This window comes from Homo sapiens, chromosome 14 (assembly GCF_000001405.40).
Source record: "Homo sapiens chromosome 14, GRCh38.p14 Primary Assembly".
Lineage (NCBI taxonomy): Eukaryota > Metazoa > Chordata > Mammalia > Primates > Hominidae > Homo > Homo sapiens.
Window position 1 is genome coordinate 73651872 of NC_000014.9, and position 13319 is coordinate 73665190.

The following is a 13319-nucleotide window of genomic DNA, read 5'->3' on the forward strand; positions in this document are numbered from 1 at the left end:
GTCTCAAACTCCTGACCTCAAGTGATCTACCCGCCTCAGCCTCCCAAAGTGCTAGGATTACAGGCGTGAGCCACTGTGCCCAGCCATATTTTATTTTTAAAATCTCTGTGTCTATAGTTATTTCTCTGTATTCTCTCTCTTTTTCTGTATATGTGTATGTGTGGTTTTTGTTTGTTTGTTTTTTGAGACAAGATCTTGCTTTGTCACCCAGGCTGAGTGCAGTGGCACCATTTAGGCTCATGCAGCCCTGACCTCCCGGGCTCTAGTGGTCCTCCCGCCTCAGCCCCTGCCCAGTTCCCCAGCCCCCCAGTAGCTGTAACTACAGGTGCCTTCCACTATGCCTGGCTAATATTTGTATTTTTTTGTAGAGACGGGGTCTTGCTATGTTGTTCAGGTTATATACATTTTTTGAGACAGGGTCTTGCTCTGTTGCCCAGGATGGAGTGTAGTGGTGCAATCTTGGCTCACTGCACCCTCTCTCCCTGGGTCAAATGATCTTCCCACCTCAGCCTCCAGAGTAGCTGGCACCACAGTCATGTGCCACCACGCCCAGTGCCACCACGGTCTAATTTTTTTTTATTTTTTGTAGAGACAAAGTCTCACTGCCTTGCCCAGGCTGGTCTCGAACTCCTGGGCTCAAGCAGTCCTCCTACTTCAGCCTCCCAAAGCGCTGGGATTACAGGCATGAACCACCATGCCTGGCTCATTTTATATTTTCAATTTGTATTGCCTTCTTTTTTGCTCAATCAGGCTTGCCAGGGATTTAAGAACCAACTTTTAGTTTTGTTAATTATTTTATCCCCTCGTTCTGTTTTTCATTGACTTTTTCCTTTGTATTTCCTTCTACCTTCTTTGGGTTTGTAATGATGTACTTTGCCAAATGTGTGAACGCCTATCTCATTTGTTTTCTATCTCTTATTTTTTGACAAATATATTTGAATCTGTAAGTTTCCTTCTTAGTATTATATTCCCCAAATTTTGACTTTTTTTCTTTCATTATTTTATAATTTTCTTTTTAACCCAAGGGTTGCTTATTAGTATGTCTTTACTTTCTAGACATAATGGTATATATTTGTGAACAAAAATTCTCTCAAAAGGAAAATGGAGGGAAGAGACTTTATTTCAATGAACAGTTTGCATATGGCTAGATGCATCCTTAGGTATAGAAGGAAGGTGTGTTCCAGAGAACAAAGGGAGGGCTTGAGTTTTATAGCAAAAGTTCCTGCCCACCTTCTCAGTCAGGTCTGTTTATGCAAATAAAGGATTCAAACTCATTCAGTTCTGGTTTGTTGATACAGCTGGGCCTTGATTGGTTGAGTCAAGTGAGCTGATTGGTTGATTCAGGTGAGTTCTGATTGGTTGGTTCATATGAACTCTGGAAGTCCCAAAGTTGAACAGAGGTGTGTTTTGGGGGGGAACTCAGAGTATGCGTGTGACCTTTAGTAAGCAGATGGCTGTTTGGCTCTAATTAATTTGATTTAATCTAATTTAATTTTTTTAGAGACAGGCTTGCCCTGTTGCCCAGGCTGGAATGTGGTGGTGCGATCATCCCTCACTGTAACCTCGAACTCTTGGGTCCAATCGATCATCCCACCTCAGCCTCCCAAATAGCTAGGACTATAGGCATACACCACCATGCCAGGCTAATTTTTTTTTAATTTTGTTTTGTAGAGATGGAGTCTCTCTATGTTGCCCAGGCTGGTATTGAACTCCTGGCCTCAAGTGATCCTCCCACCTTGGCCTCCCAAAGTGCTGGGATTACAGATGTGAGACACTGTGCCTAGCTTAGGCCCTGTTTTAAATTTAGGCCCAGTTAACTACTCAGGATTCGTCTTGAAGAATTGATTCTTTCAGGTTCACATTTGTTCACATAGTTTAAAAACTTTTCTTTTGTTATTCTTTGGGGTTCTTTTTTAAAAAAAGAGCACCAGCAGTAATTCATTAAGGATATCTTCCGTTGGGTACCTTTAGAGTTTTAAATATATTAAATTGAATCTAAGCTGCTATTAATTATAAGATGCAACATTATTTTATGTTTTACTAAGAAAAAAATGGTTTGAATTGAACTATGACAAATACTTTATTGTCATTTAAAATTTTTATTTTGTACTTATTGATAGAGTTCTTTTAAATGTATGTAGACATACAGATTTTTATCCTATCCTTTATCCTCATCCTTTGCAAACATAAAAAGGAATATATGATATGAAATAAAGTGGTTAATATTTTTCTAAAATTTCACCACTGCCACCTACCCACAGCAGTTGTAAATTGTTACTGATTATAAGATGTATCCAAATTTCAATATTAAAATGTAAGAAAGATGTAGATCCTTAGAATCAATGAAATAAGATGTATTTTAATATCAAGTATTGAAAGCTACATATTTTTTGTAAACCAAGTGGGAGGGAAGTGTATGGGTGTTACATAATGATTTCCTTATTTTTTCTCAGAGATATTTAAATCATTTTGATTTCAGGAAATTAAAACGTCCTCTTTGCATATAAAGTCTCAAAGAAAGAAATCATTTTAATGGTAGAAGCCAAGGCTAATAGTTATTGCTTGAAAAGTTAATCAACAAATTACACCAATAAAGACAAATTGGGGCTGGGCACGGTGGCTCACGCCTGTAATCCCAGCACTTTAGGAGGCCGAGGGAGGCAGATCATGAGGTCAAGGAGTTCGAGACCACCCTGGCCAACATGGTGAAACCCCATCTCTACTAAAAATACAAAAAATTAGCCGGGAGTGGTGGCGCGCACCTGTAGTCCCAGCTACTTGGGAGACTGAGGCAGGAGAATCGCTTGAACCCAGGAGGCAGAGGTTGTGGTGAGCGGAAATCATGCCATTGCACTCCAGCCTGGGTGACAGAGCAAGATTCTGTCTCAAAATAAATACATACATACATACATACATACATTCATACATACATACAACTTTGTTTTTTCTTTTCTTTCTTTTTTTTTTTTTTAAAGGCGAAAGCAACAACAATCAAAGAAGCCTTAGCGAGATGGGTGAGTACATGAGTTTTTCCTTCTTTTAGAAACTGTACAAGGAAAAATTTTGGATAGTTATTCAAATCTAGCTATTTAATACAAAGGATCCTTTTGGTATTGGAACTATTCAGCTATCTTGTCTATGGTGGTGGATGCATGAACTTACACATATGATAAAATTGTGTAAAACTTAATGCACACATACACACAGTCATACATGCACATGAGCACAAGCAAACTTGGGAAAATCTGAATAAAATCAGTGGATTGTATCAATAGCAATACCATAGTTATATTATACTGTAGTCATAAAATGTTACCCTTGGGGGAACTGGACAAACTTTAAATATCATAATAAAAATTTCAATTTAAAAAATCTGACCACTGGAAGATTTAAATATGGAAAGGCCAATTTTACCTATTGCTATAAAATTGCTGGAATTTCTGTGTTAGTACATTTTCTTTTTCTTTTTCTTTTCTTTTTTTTTTTTTTTGAGACGGAGTTTCGCTCTTGTCGCCCAGGCTGGAGTGCAGTGGTGTGACCTCGGCTCACTGCAACCTCCGCCTCCCGGGTTCAAGCGATTCTCCTGCCTCAGCCTCCCGAGTAGCTGGATTACAGGCACGCGCCACAATGCCCGGCTAATTTTTTTTGTATTTTTAGTAGAGATGGTGTTTCATCGTGTTGGTCAGGCTGGTCTCGAACTCCTGACCTCATGTGATCTGCCTGCCTCAGCCTCCCAAAGTGCTGGGATTACAGGAGTGAACCACCGCGCCCGGCCTACATTTTCTTTTTCAACTGTTATCATCACTAAGCTACATACCATTTTCATATGCTGGAGTCATATGAGTTGTGGATTATCTAGGCTTTAGAAGGTGGTTTTAGCCTCGTGGAGGTTAGTACAGAGGCAATCATTGTGGACAATGTAAATCATGCATAGACAACTGAAAAAAACCCTGAATACTCAAGCAGCAATACTAGAAAGGAAACTACATTGTAAAAGACATGCATTATATATAAATTATATTTTCAGTATTATATAACATTCTATAAAGTTTGAACAGTTACAATTCAGCATTATAGACAGAATTTCTATAGAGTACAAAGATGGCTCCTGAATTTCTGTGCCCATAAACTTATTTGTCTATGTTGTCAGTAGTTTTTTTGCATCACTTCTCTGCCTTTTGGCTAAGATCTAGTGTAGTTTTTTTGCATAATAATGTACCTTTTGCTTCTGTAAGTAGGCTTTGAATAAAAAGGCTTTCAGAAGCTTTGGTGTCTGAGGAAAATAGACAAAAGTCGATAAAATAATGAAATACTTGAATTCTTGTTTTAGTGCTTATAAATTTCTCATTTACTTTAAATGTATTTTATAATTTATTTCTGTTTTGTTAAATATTTAATGAAAAATCTTAAGGAAAAAAAGCATATGAAGTAGACTTAGTACCAGATTTCATTTTCCTTGAATTGGATTTTGAGATTTTATTTTACTTACAATAACTAGTGTTTTTTTTTGTTTTGGCTGGTAGAGTCTATTTCTAGATTACAATATGGCCATACATTTTTGACTTTTTTTTTTTTTTTTTGAGACAGTGTCTCGCTCTGTCACCCAGGCTGGAGTGCAGTGGCACAATCATAGCTCACTGCAGCCTCAGTGTCCTAGGCTCAAACACCTGAGTAGCTGGGACTACAGGTGTGCATCATCACCACACCTGGCTAATTTGTTGTTGTTGCTGTTGTTGTAGAGACAGAGTCTCATTATGTTGCCCAGGTTGGTCTTGAACTCCTGAGCTCAAGTGACCCTCTTGCCTCAGCCTCCCATGGTGCTGGGATTACAGGCATGAGCCACTGTGCCTGGCCCATGCATTTTTGACTTTAAGATTATTCAAAGACATCAATCTCACTTTTTCATTGATTTACCCAACATTTATTGAGGATCTACTAGATGTCAATTTCTCCTCCTCTAACCTACAAATATATGTCATAAAAATAAGCACTGAGTGGATATGTATTAGATCTTTTTACAACTGATTGTATATTTTCTATCATTATTATTATTTTAATATATTTTATTTTTCTTTTAATTTAATTCTGTGAAAGTATAGACGGGGTCTCACTATATTGCCCAGGCTGGTCTCAAACTCCTGAGCTCAAGTGATCCTCCCTGCTCAGCCTCCCAAAGTGCTAGGATTATAGGCATGAGCCATTGTGCCCGGCCTATTTTCTATTATTGACATGTGGTGATTTAAGTTTTTTAAAGGAGTTTTGTGTGTCTTACACTGCAGTAGGTTATACAAAACATAGGAAAACAAAGGAAATGGCTCCTGAGCTTCTAGTTTTGTTTTGTTAATTCGTTTGTTTTTCTGGGGACAGGGTCTCTGTTCCTCCAGGCTGAAGTGCAGTGAGCTCAAGTGATCCTCCCACCTCAGCCTCCACCTCCCAAGTAGGTGGACCACAGTCGTGTGCCACCACATCTAGCTGATTTTTAAATTATTTATAGAAATGAGGTCTTGCTATGTTGCTCAGGCTGGTTTCCAACTCTTGGGCTCAAGCAGTCCTCCTGCTTTGGCCTCCCAGATTGCTGGTATTACAGGCATGAGCCACTGTGCCTGTTTGTCATTTTACCATTGTGTTGAGTTCCTGCGTCAGATGAATAGTTTGCAAATATTTTCCCCCATTCAACAGGTTTTCTCCTCACTCTGTTTATTGTTTCCTCTGCTGTGCAGAAGTTTTATTTTTACATTTTGAGATGGAGTCTCGCTCTGTTGCCCAGGCTGGAGTACAATGGCACGATCTCAGCTCACTGCAACCTCTGCCTCCCGGGTTCAAGCAATTCTCCTGCCTCAGCCTCCCACGTAGCTGGGATTACAGGCACGTGCCACCACACCAGGCTACTTTTTTGTATTTTTAGTAGAGGCAGTGTTTCACCATGTCAGCCAGGCTGGTCTTAAACTCCTGACCTCAGGTGATCCACCCTCCTCGGCCTCCCGAAGTGCTGGGATTACAGGCGTGCACCACTACGCCTGCCCAGAAGCTTTTTAGTTTTAGTTCCATTGTTTATTTTTGTTTTTGTTGCCTGTGCTTTTGAGGTCTTAGCCGTAAAATCTTCTCCTAGACCAATGTCCTGAAGTGTTTTCCCTGTATTTTCTTCCAGTGGCTTTATAGTTTTGAGTCTTACCTTTAAGTCTTTAATTCATCATGGTTGATTTTTGCATATGGTGAGAGAAAGGGGTCCAGTTTCATTTGTCTGCATTTGGATATCCAATTTTTCCAGCACCATTTATTGAAGAGGGTATCCTTTTCCCAATGTATTTTCTTGGTGCCTTTGTCAAAAATCAGTTGGCTGTAAATACATGGACTTATTTCTGGATTCTCCATTCCATTCTATTGGTCTGTGTATCTGCTTTTATACCAATACCGTGCTGTTTGGGTTGTGTTCGCCTTATAATATATCTTGAAATCAGGTAGTGTGATAACATCCAATTTTGTTCTTTTTGCTCAGGATTGTTTTGGCTATTTGTGTTCTTTTTTGGTTCCATATGAATTTTAGGATTTTTTTCTATTCTGTGAAAAATGACATTGGTATTTTGATAGGAATTACATTGAATCTGTAGCTTGCATTGGGAAGTATGGTCATTTTAATTATATTAATTGTTCTGATCCATGAATATGAGATATCTTTGCATTTGTTTGTGTCATTTTCAAATTTTAAATACCACAAAAATAAAAGTTTTTTTATTTTCTCCTCATTTTCATTTGGTAGGGACCTAATAGTTATCTGATTCAGCCACATATAAATCTGATTATCAGGGTGAGTAGGTAAATGTTTTCAATAAGTTAATGGTAAAGAATTATTAAACAGTTTGCTAAATTCTAGCAATTGTCTTGAAATAAACATGGAAAAGCCTTAGGAAATTCTGGCCTCTTTTGTTTCCACATTGCAATCATGGGTTATTTCTTCCAAATGTATTTTTCTCATAGGAAGAGAAAACTGGCCAGAGGCCATCTGAAGCCAAAGAGATAAAACTTTATGCCCAGATTCCCCCTATAGAGAAGATGGATGCATCCTTGTCCATGCTTGCTAATTGCGAGTAAGTTCTCTTTTCATCCTTCCAGTATTGCTGTTAGGTTTCCCTTTCTTTTCTTAAACACACAAAGTAGGAAAATATGTTTGTTTTCTGTGGTCTTCATTTATTTTTTGTTTGCTTAGTGTAATTCTCTCTTTGGCAAGGTCAAACATGAAAAATGACTGGTTTATAGGATTATTAATAGAAAATATTGAACAGTATAGTACAATTTTTTTTTTTTTTTTTTGAGATGGGGTCTGGCTCTGTCGCCCAGGCTGGAGTGCAATGGCATGATCTCGGCTCACTGCAACCTACGCCTCCCGGGTTCGAGCAGTTCTCCTGCCTCAGCCTCCCGGGTAGCTGAGACTACAAGGCACATGCCACCACGCCCAGCAATTTTTTTGTATTTTTAGTAGAGATAGGGTTTCACCATGTTAGCCAGGATGATCTTGATCTCCTGACATTGTGATCCGCCCACCTCGGCCTCCCAAAGTGCTGAGATTACCAGCATGAGCCACCACGCCCAGCCAAACAGTACAATATTTTTAGTACAGTTTTTATAATGAGTTTGAAAATATACATCTCCTAGTCTTTTGGGAGAAGCTAAATAACACAATAAACTATATATTTTTTAAATATGGAATGCGTCACGATTGTATGTCATCCTTGTGCAGGGGCCATGCTAATCTATCGTTCCAGTTTAGTACATGGCTGCTGAAGTGAGCACCACAATAAACTATGACATTTATGAAATCTACTACTTTCTCTTGTAAAATTATCCACAAAGTCAAAACTGTATTTTCTTACTACATGCCTAAGAGATACCCCTTAAAAAAAAAGTTTAAAATTATAAAAAACACATTATAAAACATCTGGAAAATATAAGCAGCACAAAGAAAAGGAATTAACATCAACCAAAATCACAGCACTGTGTGAGAACCAGTGCTAGCATTTTTGTAGAGCCTTCTAACTTTTAAAAACAAATTCTAATTGGGATCAAATTATACTTTATTTTTTTGAGAAACTCTTTGTCACCCAGGCTGCAGTGCAGTGCTGTGATCTCGGCTCATTGGAACCTCTGCCTCCTGGGTTCAAGCAATTCTCCTGCCTCAGCCTCCCAAGTAGCTGGGACTACAGGCACTTGCCACCACACCCATCTAATTTTTTTTGTATTTTTAGTAGAGATGGGGTTTCACCATGTTGGCCAGGCTGGTCTCGAACTCCTGACCTCAAGTGATCCACCCACCTTGGCCTCCCAAAGTGCTGGGACTACAGGCATGAGCCATTGTGCCTGGCCTACTTATTTTGTAATCCTATATCCTGTGACTTTAAATATCAGATCTATAGTAGTTTCTTTTAATTTATTTTCTCAATACATGTATTTTAGCAGGATTCTGTGGCTAATTTGAGGCAATTATACCACGTTGCCTTGAAACCATGTTTTTAGGCTACAAGTGTGTCTCATCAGGGCTATAGTATACCATAGAATCACTGGGTTTTTTTCTGATTTCTTCACCCTGTGTTTGTCTAAGTGTGATCCCTTGATCATCTGCACTTTATGCAGGAGATCAGCCCCATCCCAAATTTATAGAAACAGAATATTTGCTGATGAAACCTAGGAATCTGCATTTACAGTAAGCAACTTGGGTAATTCTAGGACACATATTTGTGAACCCATGCATTAGACTAATATCCATCTGTGGGATCAAAGGGGAGAGCAAACATATTTAGCTTTTGTACGCAGCTTGTTCTTTGTGATGAGAACACAGTGTGTCACATAAAAATCCACCACCACATGCTTTTTTGGCATCAGGCATGATTTCAAAGTGGTCACATATCTTTTTATCATAAAGCCATCTCAAAGGCAAACAAATTTGAGAAGGTTTTATACCTCATACTAAAGCACCTTGTATATCACCTCGAGTCAACCTGTTCATATTTTGCTGACAATTTATTTGTGCTAGCTGCCTTAACAAGAATTAAAGAATTATTTCCCAACCATATTCCTAGATTTAAAGGCAATCCATTATTCACTGGGAGTTCTCAGGAGTGGGGGATGACTAGAAAATATACAGATTTGGCCAGTCATTTACCTGACTCGCACACTCATAATCCCAGCTACTTGGGTGGCGGAGGCATGAAAATCGCTTGAACCTGGGAGGCGGAGGTCGCAGTGAACTGAGATCATGCCACTGCACTCCAGCCTGGGCCACAGAGCGAGACTCTGTCTAAAAAAAAAATATATATATTGTTCTGCTAGATGGTTTTTAAACTATGTATCATAGACATCTTCCCAAGTCGGTATCTGTAGCCCTATCTCCTTTGTTTTAGTGGCAGCTTAGTATTTCACTATCTGTTCCTAAGTTAACAGGTGTTTATAGATTTTTTCAATTTTTCTGCTATTCCAGTAATACATATAATCTAGTTCATATATCTTTTGGCATTTATATTAATATTTCAGTAGGATGTATTTCTAGAAGTGAAAAACTTGGTCAAGAAATGTATGCATTAAAAAATTTCATAATACCAGGGCCAGGTGTGGTGGCTCACACCTCTAATCCCAGCACTTTGGGAGGCCGAAGCAAGTGGATCACTTGAGGTCAGGAGTTCAAGACCAGCTTGGCCAACATGGTGAAACCCTGTCTCCACTGAAAATACAAAAATTAGCCAGGCATGGTAGCAGGCACCTGTAATCCCAGCTACTTGGGTGGCTGAGGCAGGAGAATTGCTTGAACCGGGGAGGTGGAAGTTGCAGTGAACTGAAATGGTGCCACTGCACTCCAGCTTGGGTGGCAGAGTGAGACTCTGTCTTAAGAAGAAAAAAAAATTGTTAATACCATATTGCCCTCAAGAAGATTTTTTCAAATTTTTAATGAGTGTTAAACTTAGGTAATCAGAGAAAAACAATGATTTCAAAATGAAGTAATAAATGCTATGATTGAGTGGGGAAAATATTACTTAAATATTATCTTTTATGGGCACTAGTGTTAAGGAATAATTTCTGATTTACCATTTACATTTTTCACATTAAATTTTTTCTTTGTTCTTTTAAAGGAAGCTTTCACTGTCTACAAACTGCATTGAAAAAATTGCCAACCTGAATGGCTTAAGTAAGTGATTCACAGTAACAGATGGTTCATGGATTTCCTAGTTATTTTAATAAACATTCCGGAGACAATATGTAATTCCAGAAGCTGGCACCTGTTTTAGCCATACTTGTTGTCAGATAATAGAATACATAAACTATGTCTTAAGTTTGATTATCCAAAGAAAAATAGAGATAGCATGAGCTCTGAACGTTTTAAAGACATTTAAAAGCTTTTATAGAGTTAGAATTGAGATGTCTTAAATAGAATATCAGATTTTTAATTGTGTATTTCTTTGTTCAGATTTGTATTGTCTGTATTTCAAACTTGTTATATTTAAATTTTAATTCATCATCCCTGTTTTTCCTGTGCTCCTTATCCTCGTTAATGACATTGCCTCCCTCCCAGTTGCCAAGGCCTCTGACTCTGTATTAGTTTCCTACGGCTGCTGTAACTTGATGGCTTAAAATGATGGATATATATTCTCTTATGGTTCTGGAGACCAGAAGTCTGAAATCAGTTTCATCTGGTGAAAATCAAGCCATGCTCCCTCTGGAGGCTGGAGGAGAATCTTTTTCTAGCCTCTTCCAGCTTCTGGTGGCTGCTGCATTCCTTGGCTTGTGACTCATCACTCCAGTCTCTGCCAGTAGTCACACTGGCTTCTCCTTCTGTGTCAAATCTCTGTCTGCCTCCCTCTTATGAGGATACATGTGATTGCATTAGGGCACACCCTGATCTTGAGGATAATCTCCCTGTCTCTCAAGATCCTTAATCATATCTGCAAAGTACTTTTTTTTTTTTTTTTTTTGCCATATAAGGTAACGTTCACAGGTTCCAGGCATTAGAATGTAAGTATCTTTGGGGGAGCCATTGTTTAGCCTACCACAGTCTCTCTTCAAGCCCTATATGCAAATTTATCACTAAATCCTGTTAACTCTACTCTTTGAAGGAGCTCTCAAATAAAGTGTTGCTTTTCCATTTCCAGGAGTTACAACTTTTTAGACCCTCATCATCTTCCCCTTAGGTCATGTTCTTCAAACATTTTGACCACTTTCCATTGTAAGAAATACATCTGAATGTATTATACATTCATATGAATATGCATATCAAATATATACGTACATATAAACTTGAATAAAGTTTGCAAGACAGTATTTACCCTTATATAGCATAGGTCCCAGTAATTTTTTTTTTTTTTTTTTTTTGAGATGGAGTCTCACTCTGTTGCCCAGGCTGGATTTCAGTGGTGCAATCTCAGCTCACTACAACCTCCGCCTCCTAGGTTCAAGCAATTCTCTTGCCTCAGTCTCCTGAGTAGCTGGGATTACAGGTGCCCACCGCCACGCCTGGCTAATTTTTGTATTTTTAGTGGAGATGGGGTTTCACCATGTTGGCCAGGCTGGCCTCAAACTCCTGACCTAAAGTGATCCACCCACCTCAGCCTCCCAAAGTGCTGGGATTATAGGCGTGAGCCACCACGCCTGGCCAGTTCCAGTATGTATTTTTAAATTTTTATTTCTTTTTTTTTAAATGCTGATCACAACACACTAAATTGATTTCACAACCTATTAATTTAGGCTCATGACCCATAGTTTGAAAAACACTATCTTACAACTTTTGTGATAGTCAAACAGGTCAGGGTCACTGGTCTCATTATCTAAGGTGTTATCCTAGTTCATTGCCTCATGACTGAGAAAGTTAAGGAATGTGGATGCAAAGGGTGAGGTTGCAGTGAAAGTTTAATGAGTGAAAAAAGAAAGCTCTCTGCAGTGGAAAGGGAACCCCAAGTGAGTTGCTGTTTTTACAGCTGAATTCAAAAACTTTTATAAGAAACTCCTCTCACCTCTGTAGCTGTTTGAGTAACTTCTCTTATTTGAAAAGCTGTCTGCACAACTCCCCCTTATCTATGTAGTTGTGGGTGTATCTCTAGGCAGGCATCAAAGCACTGCTTCTCTTCTTTGTATAATTGTGGGTTTGTTTTAGGTAAGTCCCTCTCCTCCCTGTACAGGTTCCCAGGGAGACTACTGTGTACATAACTGAAAAGGGGAAGAAACTTTCCTGGGAGCCCACCAATTACACAAAGAAGAATCTGTGCTGGACCCTACATACTTATCTGTGCAGGTGCAGCCTGAGTTTTCCACAGACTGTTATATTTTTGCCTGTAGCTGTGATTTTTCAGGCAGGCTGCTTTTCCAAGGACCAGCCTTAACTGTTTACTTAACTGATTTCTCCTTTTCTTCTCCCTCAATAGCCTCCTAATTGATCTCCTTTCCTCCTGTCTTTCTGCCCTTCAGGTGACCTTCATCACTGATAACAGAGTTTTCTTTCTAAAAATATCATTTGAATATCATTATATCAGAGACCTTTTAATGGTATCTCTTTGCCTAGTAAAGACCAAATGCCTTGATGTCGCATTAAAAGTCATCTAAAAGCTTTTAGTATCCAATTTACACCCAAATACACTATTTTAAAAATGACTTTGTAGCATTTATTAATGCAATAATTTTCACTGAGAACAGCTTTTTCCTGTAACAGGAAAATCCTATAACAAATTAAGATTAAGAATGCAGCCAGGTACCATGGCTCATGCCTATAATCCCAGCACTTTGGGAGGCTGAGGCAGGTGGATCACTTAAGCTTAGGAGTTCGAGACCAGCCTGGGCAACATAGCGAGACCCCCATCTCTACTAAAAATTTTAAAAATTATCTGGGCATGGTGGTGTTTGCCTGTAGTCCCAGCTACTTAGGAGGAGGATTGCTTGAGCTCAGGAGAGTGAGTCTGCAGCAAGCTATGATGGTGCTACTGCACTCCAGCCTGTGCAACAGAGCAAGACCTTGTCTAAAAAAAAAAATAAAAAAAAATTACGAATGCCACGTGTGAATGTCACCCCCTCCTTGAAGACTTCCCTCATCTCCATCATCAAAATTAATTACTCCTTTGGAAATATTCATAACAGTCTACTTGGATTATAATAATAATTACCTATCATATAATTATTGTGAAGATTGAGTTAGTATATATATAGAGTACTTAGAATTGTGCCTGGTGCATATAAAATGCTCAATAAATATTAACCATTATTATAGTTACTTGGGAATATGTTCTGCTCTTTAGATAGTGAATTCCTTGAGGAAAAGCATCATCTTATTAATCTTTTAATCTTCTATTTCA

The 13319-nt window shown here is 38.7% G+C and overlaps 1 protein-coding gene and 1 pseudogene across 4 annotated transcripts in view, besides 3 other annotated features; one reads left to right on the top strand and one right to left on the bottom strand.

Annotated features, from left to right (window-relative positions):
• DNAL1 (dynein axonemal light chain 1) overlaps window positions 1-13319 on the top strand; it is a 58747-nt gene that overhangs the window by 6886 nt on the left and 38542 nt on the right. For 3 of the 4 annotated variants that reach the window (XM_024449715.2, NM_001201366.2, XM_017021679.3), the window contains exons 2-5: window positions 1299-1344; window positions 2976-3014; window positions 6976-7085; window positions 10116-10171. In XM_024449715.2, coding sequence (XP_024305483.1) covers window positions 7051-7085; window positions 10116-10171 — 91 coding nt within the window. In that variant the 5' untranslated portion in view covers window positions 1299-1344; window positions 2976-3014; window positions 6976-7050. The remainder of the gene's footprint in view (window positions 1-1298; window positions 1345-2975; window positions 3015-6975; window positions 7086-10115; window positions 10172-13319) is intronic. The other variant, NM_031427.4, reaches the window with a different exon arrangement.
• Window positions 5327-5496: an enhancer, noted in NCBI's record as "experimental_36561 CRE fragment used in MPRA reporter constructs". NCBI's record gives its function as "activates a minimal promoter by MPRAs in K562 erythroleukemia cells, with activity observed for both the introgressed and non-introgressed 14:74123986 or rs62004913 variant alleles {active_cell/tissue: K562}" and the evidence as "EXISTENCE:reporter gene assay evidence [ECO:0000049][PMID:34662402]".
• Window position 5412: a transcriptional cis regulatory region, noted in NCBI's record as "Neanderthal adaptively introgressed variant 14:74123986 (GRCh37/hg19 assembly coordinates) or rs62004913 in the experimental_36561 CRE". NCBI's record gives its function as "modulates activity of the experimental_36561 enhancer by MPRAs in K562 erythroleukemia cells {active_cell/tissue: K562}" and the evidence as "EXISTENCE:reporter gene assay evidence [ECO:0000049][PMID:34662402]".
• RNU6-240P (RNA, U6 small nuclear 240, pseudogene) lies at window positions 7693-7789 on the bottom strand (annotated as a pseudogene).
• Window positions 11955-12249: a silencer, noted in NCBI's record as "tiled region #2817; HepG2 Repressive DNase matched - State 6:EnhF, and K562 Repressive non-DNase unmatched - State 23:Low". NCBI's record gives its function as "represses a minimal TATA promoter and a strong SV40 promoter by Sharpr-MPRA in HepG2 and K562 cells {active_cell/tissue: HepG2 | K562}" and the evidence as "EXISTENCE:reporter gene assay evidence [ECO:0000049][PMID:27701403]".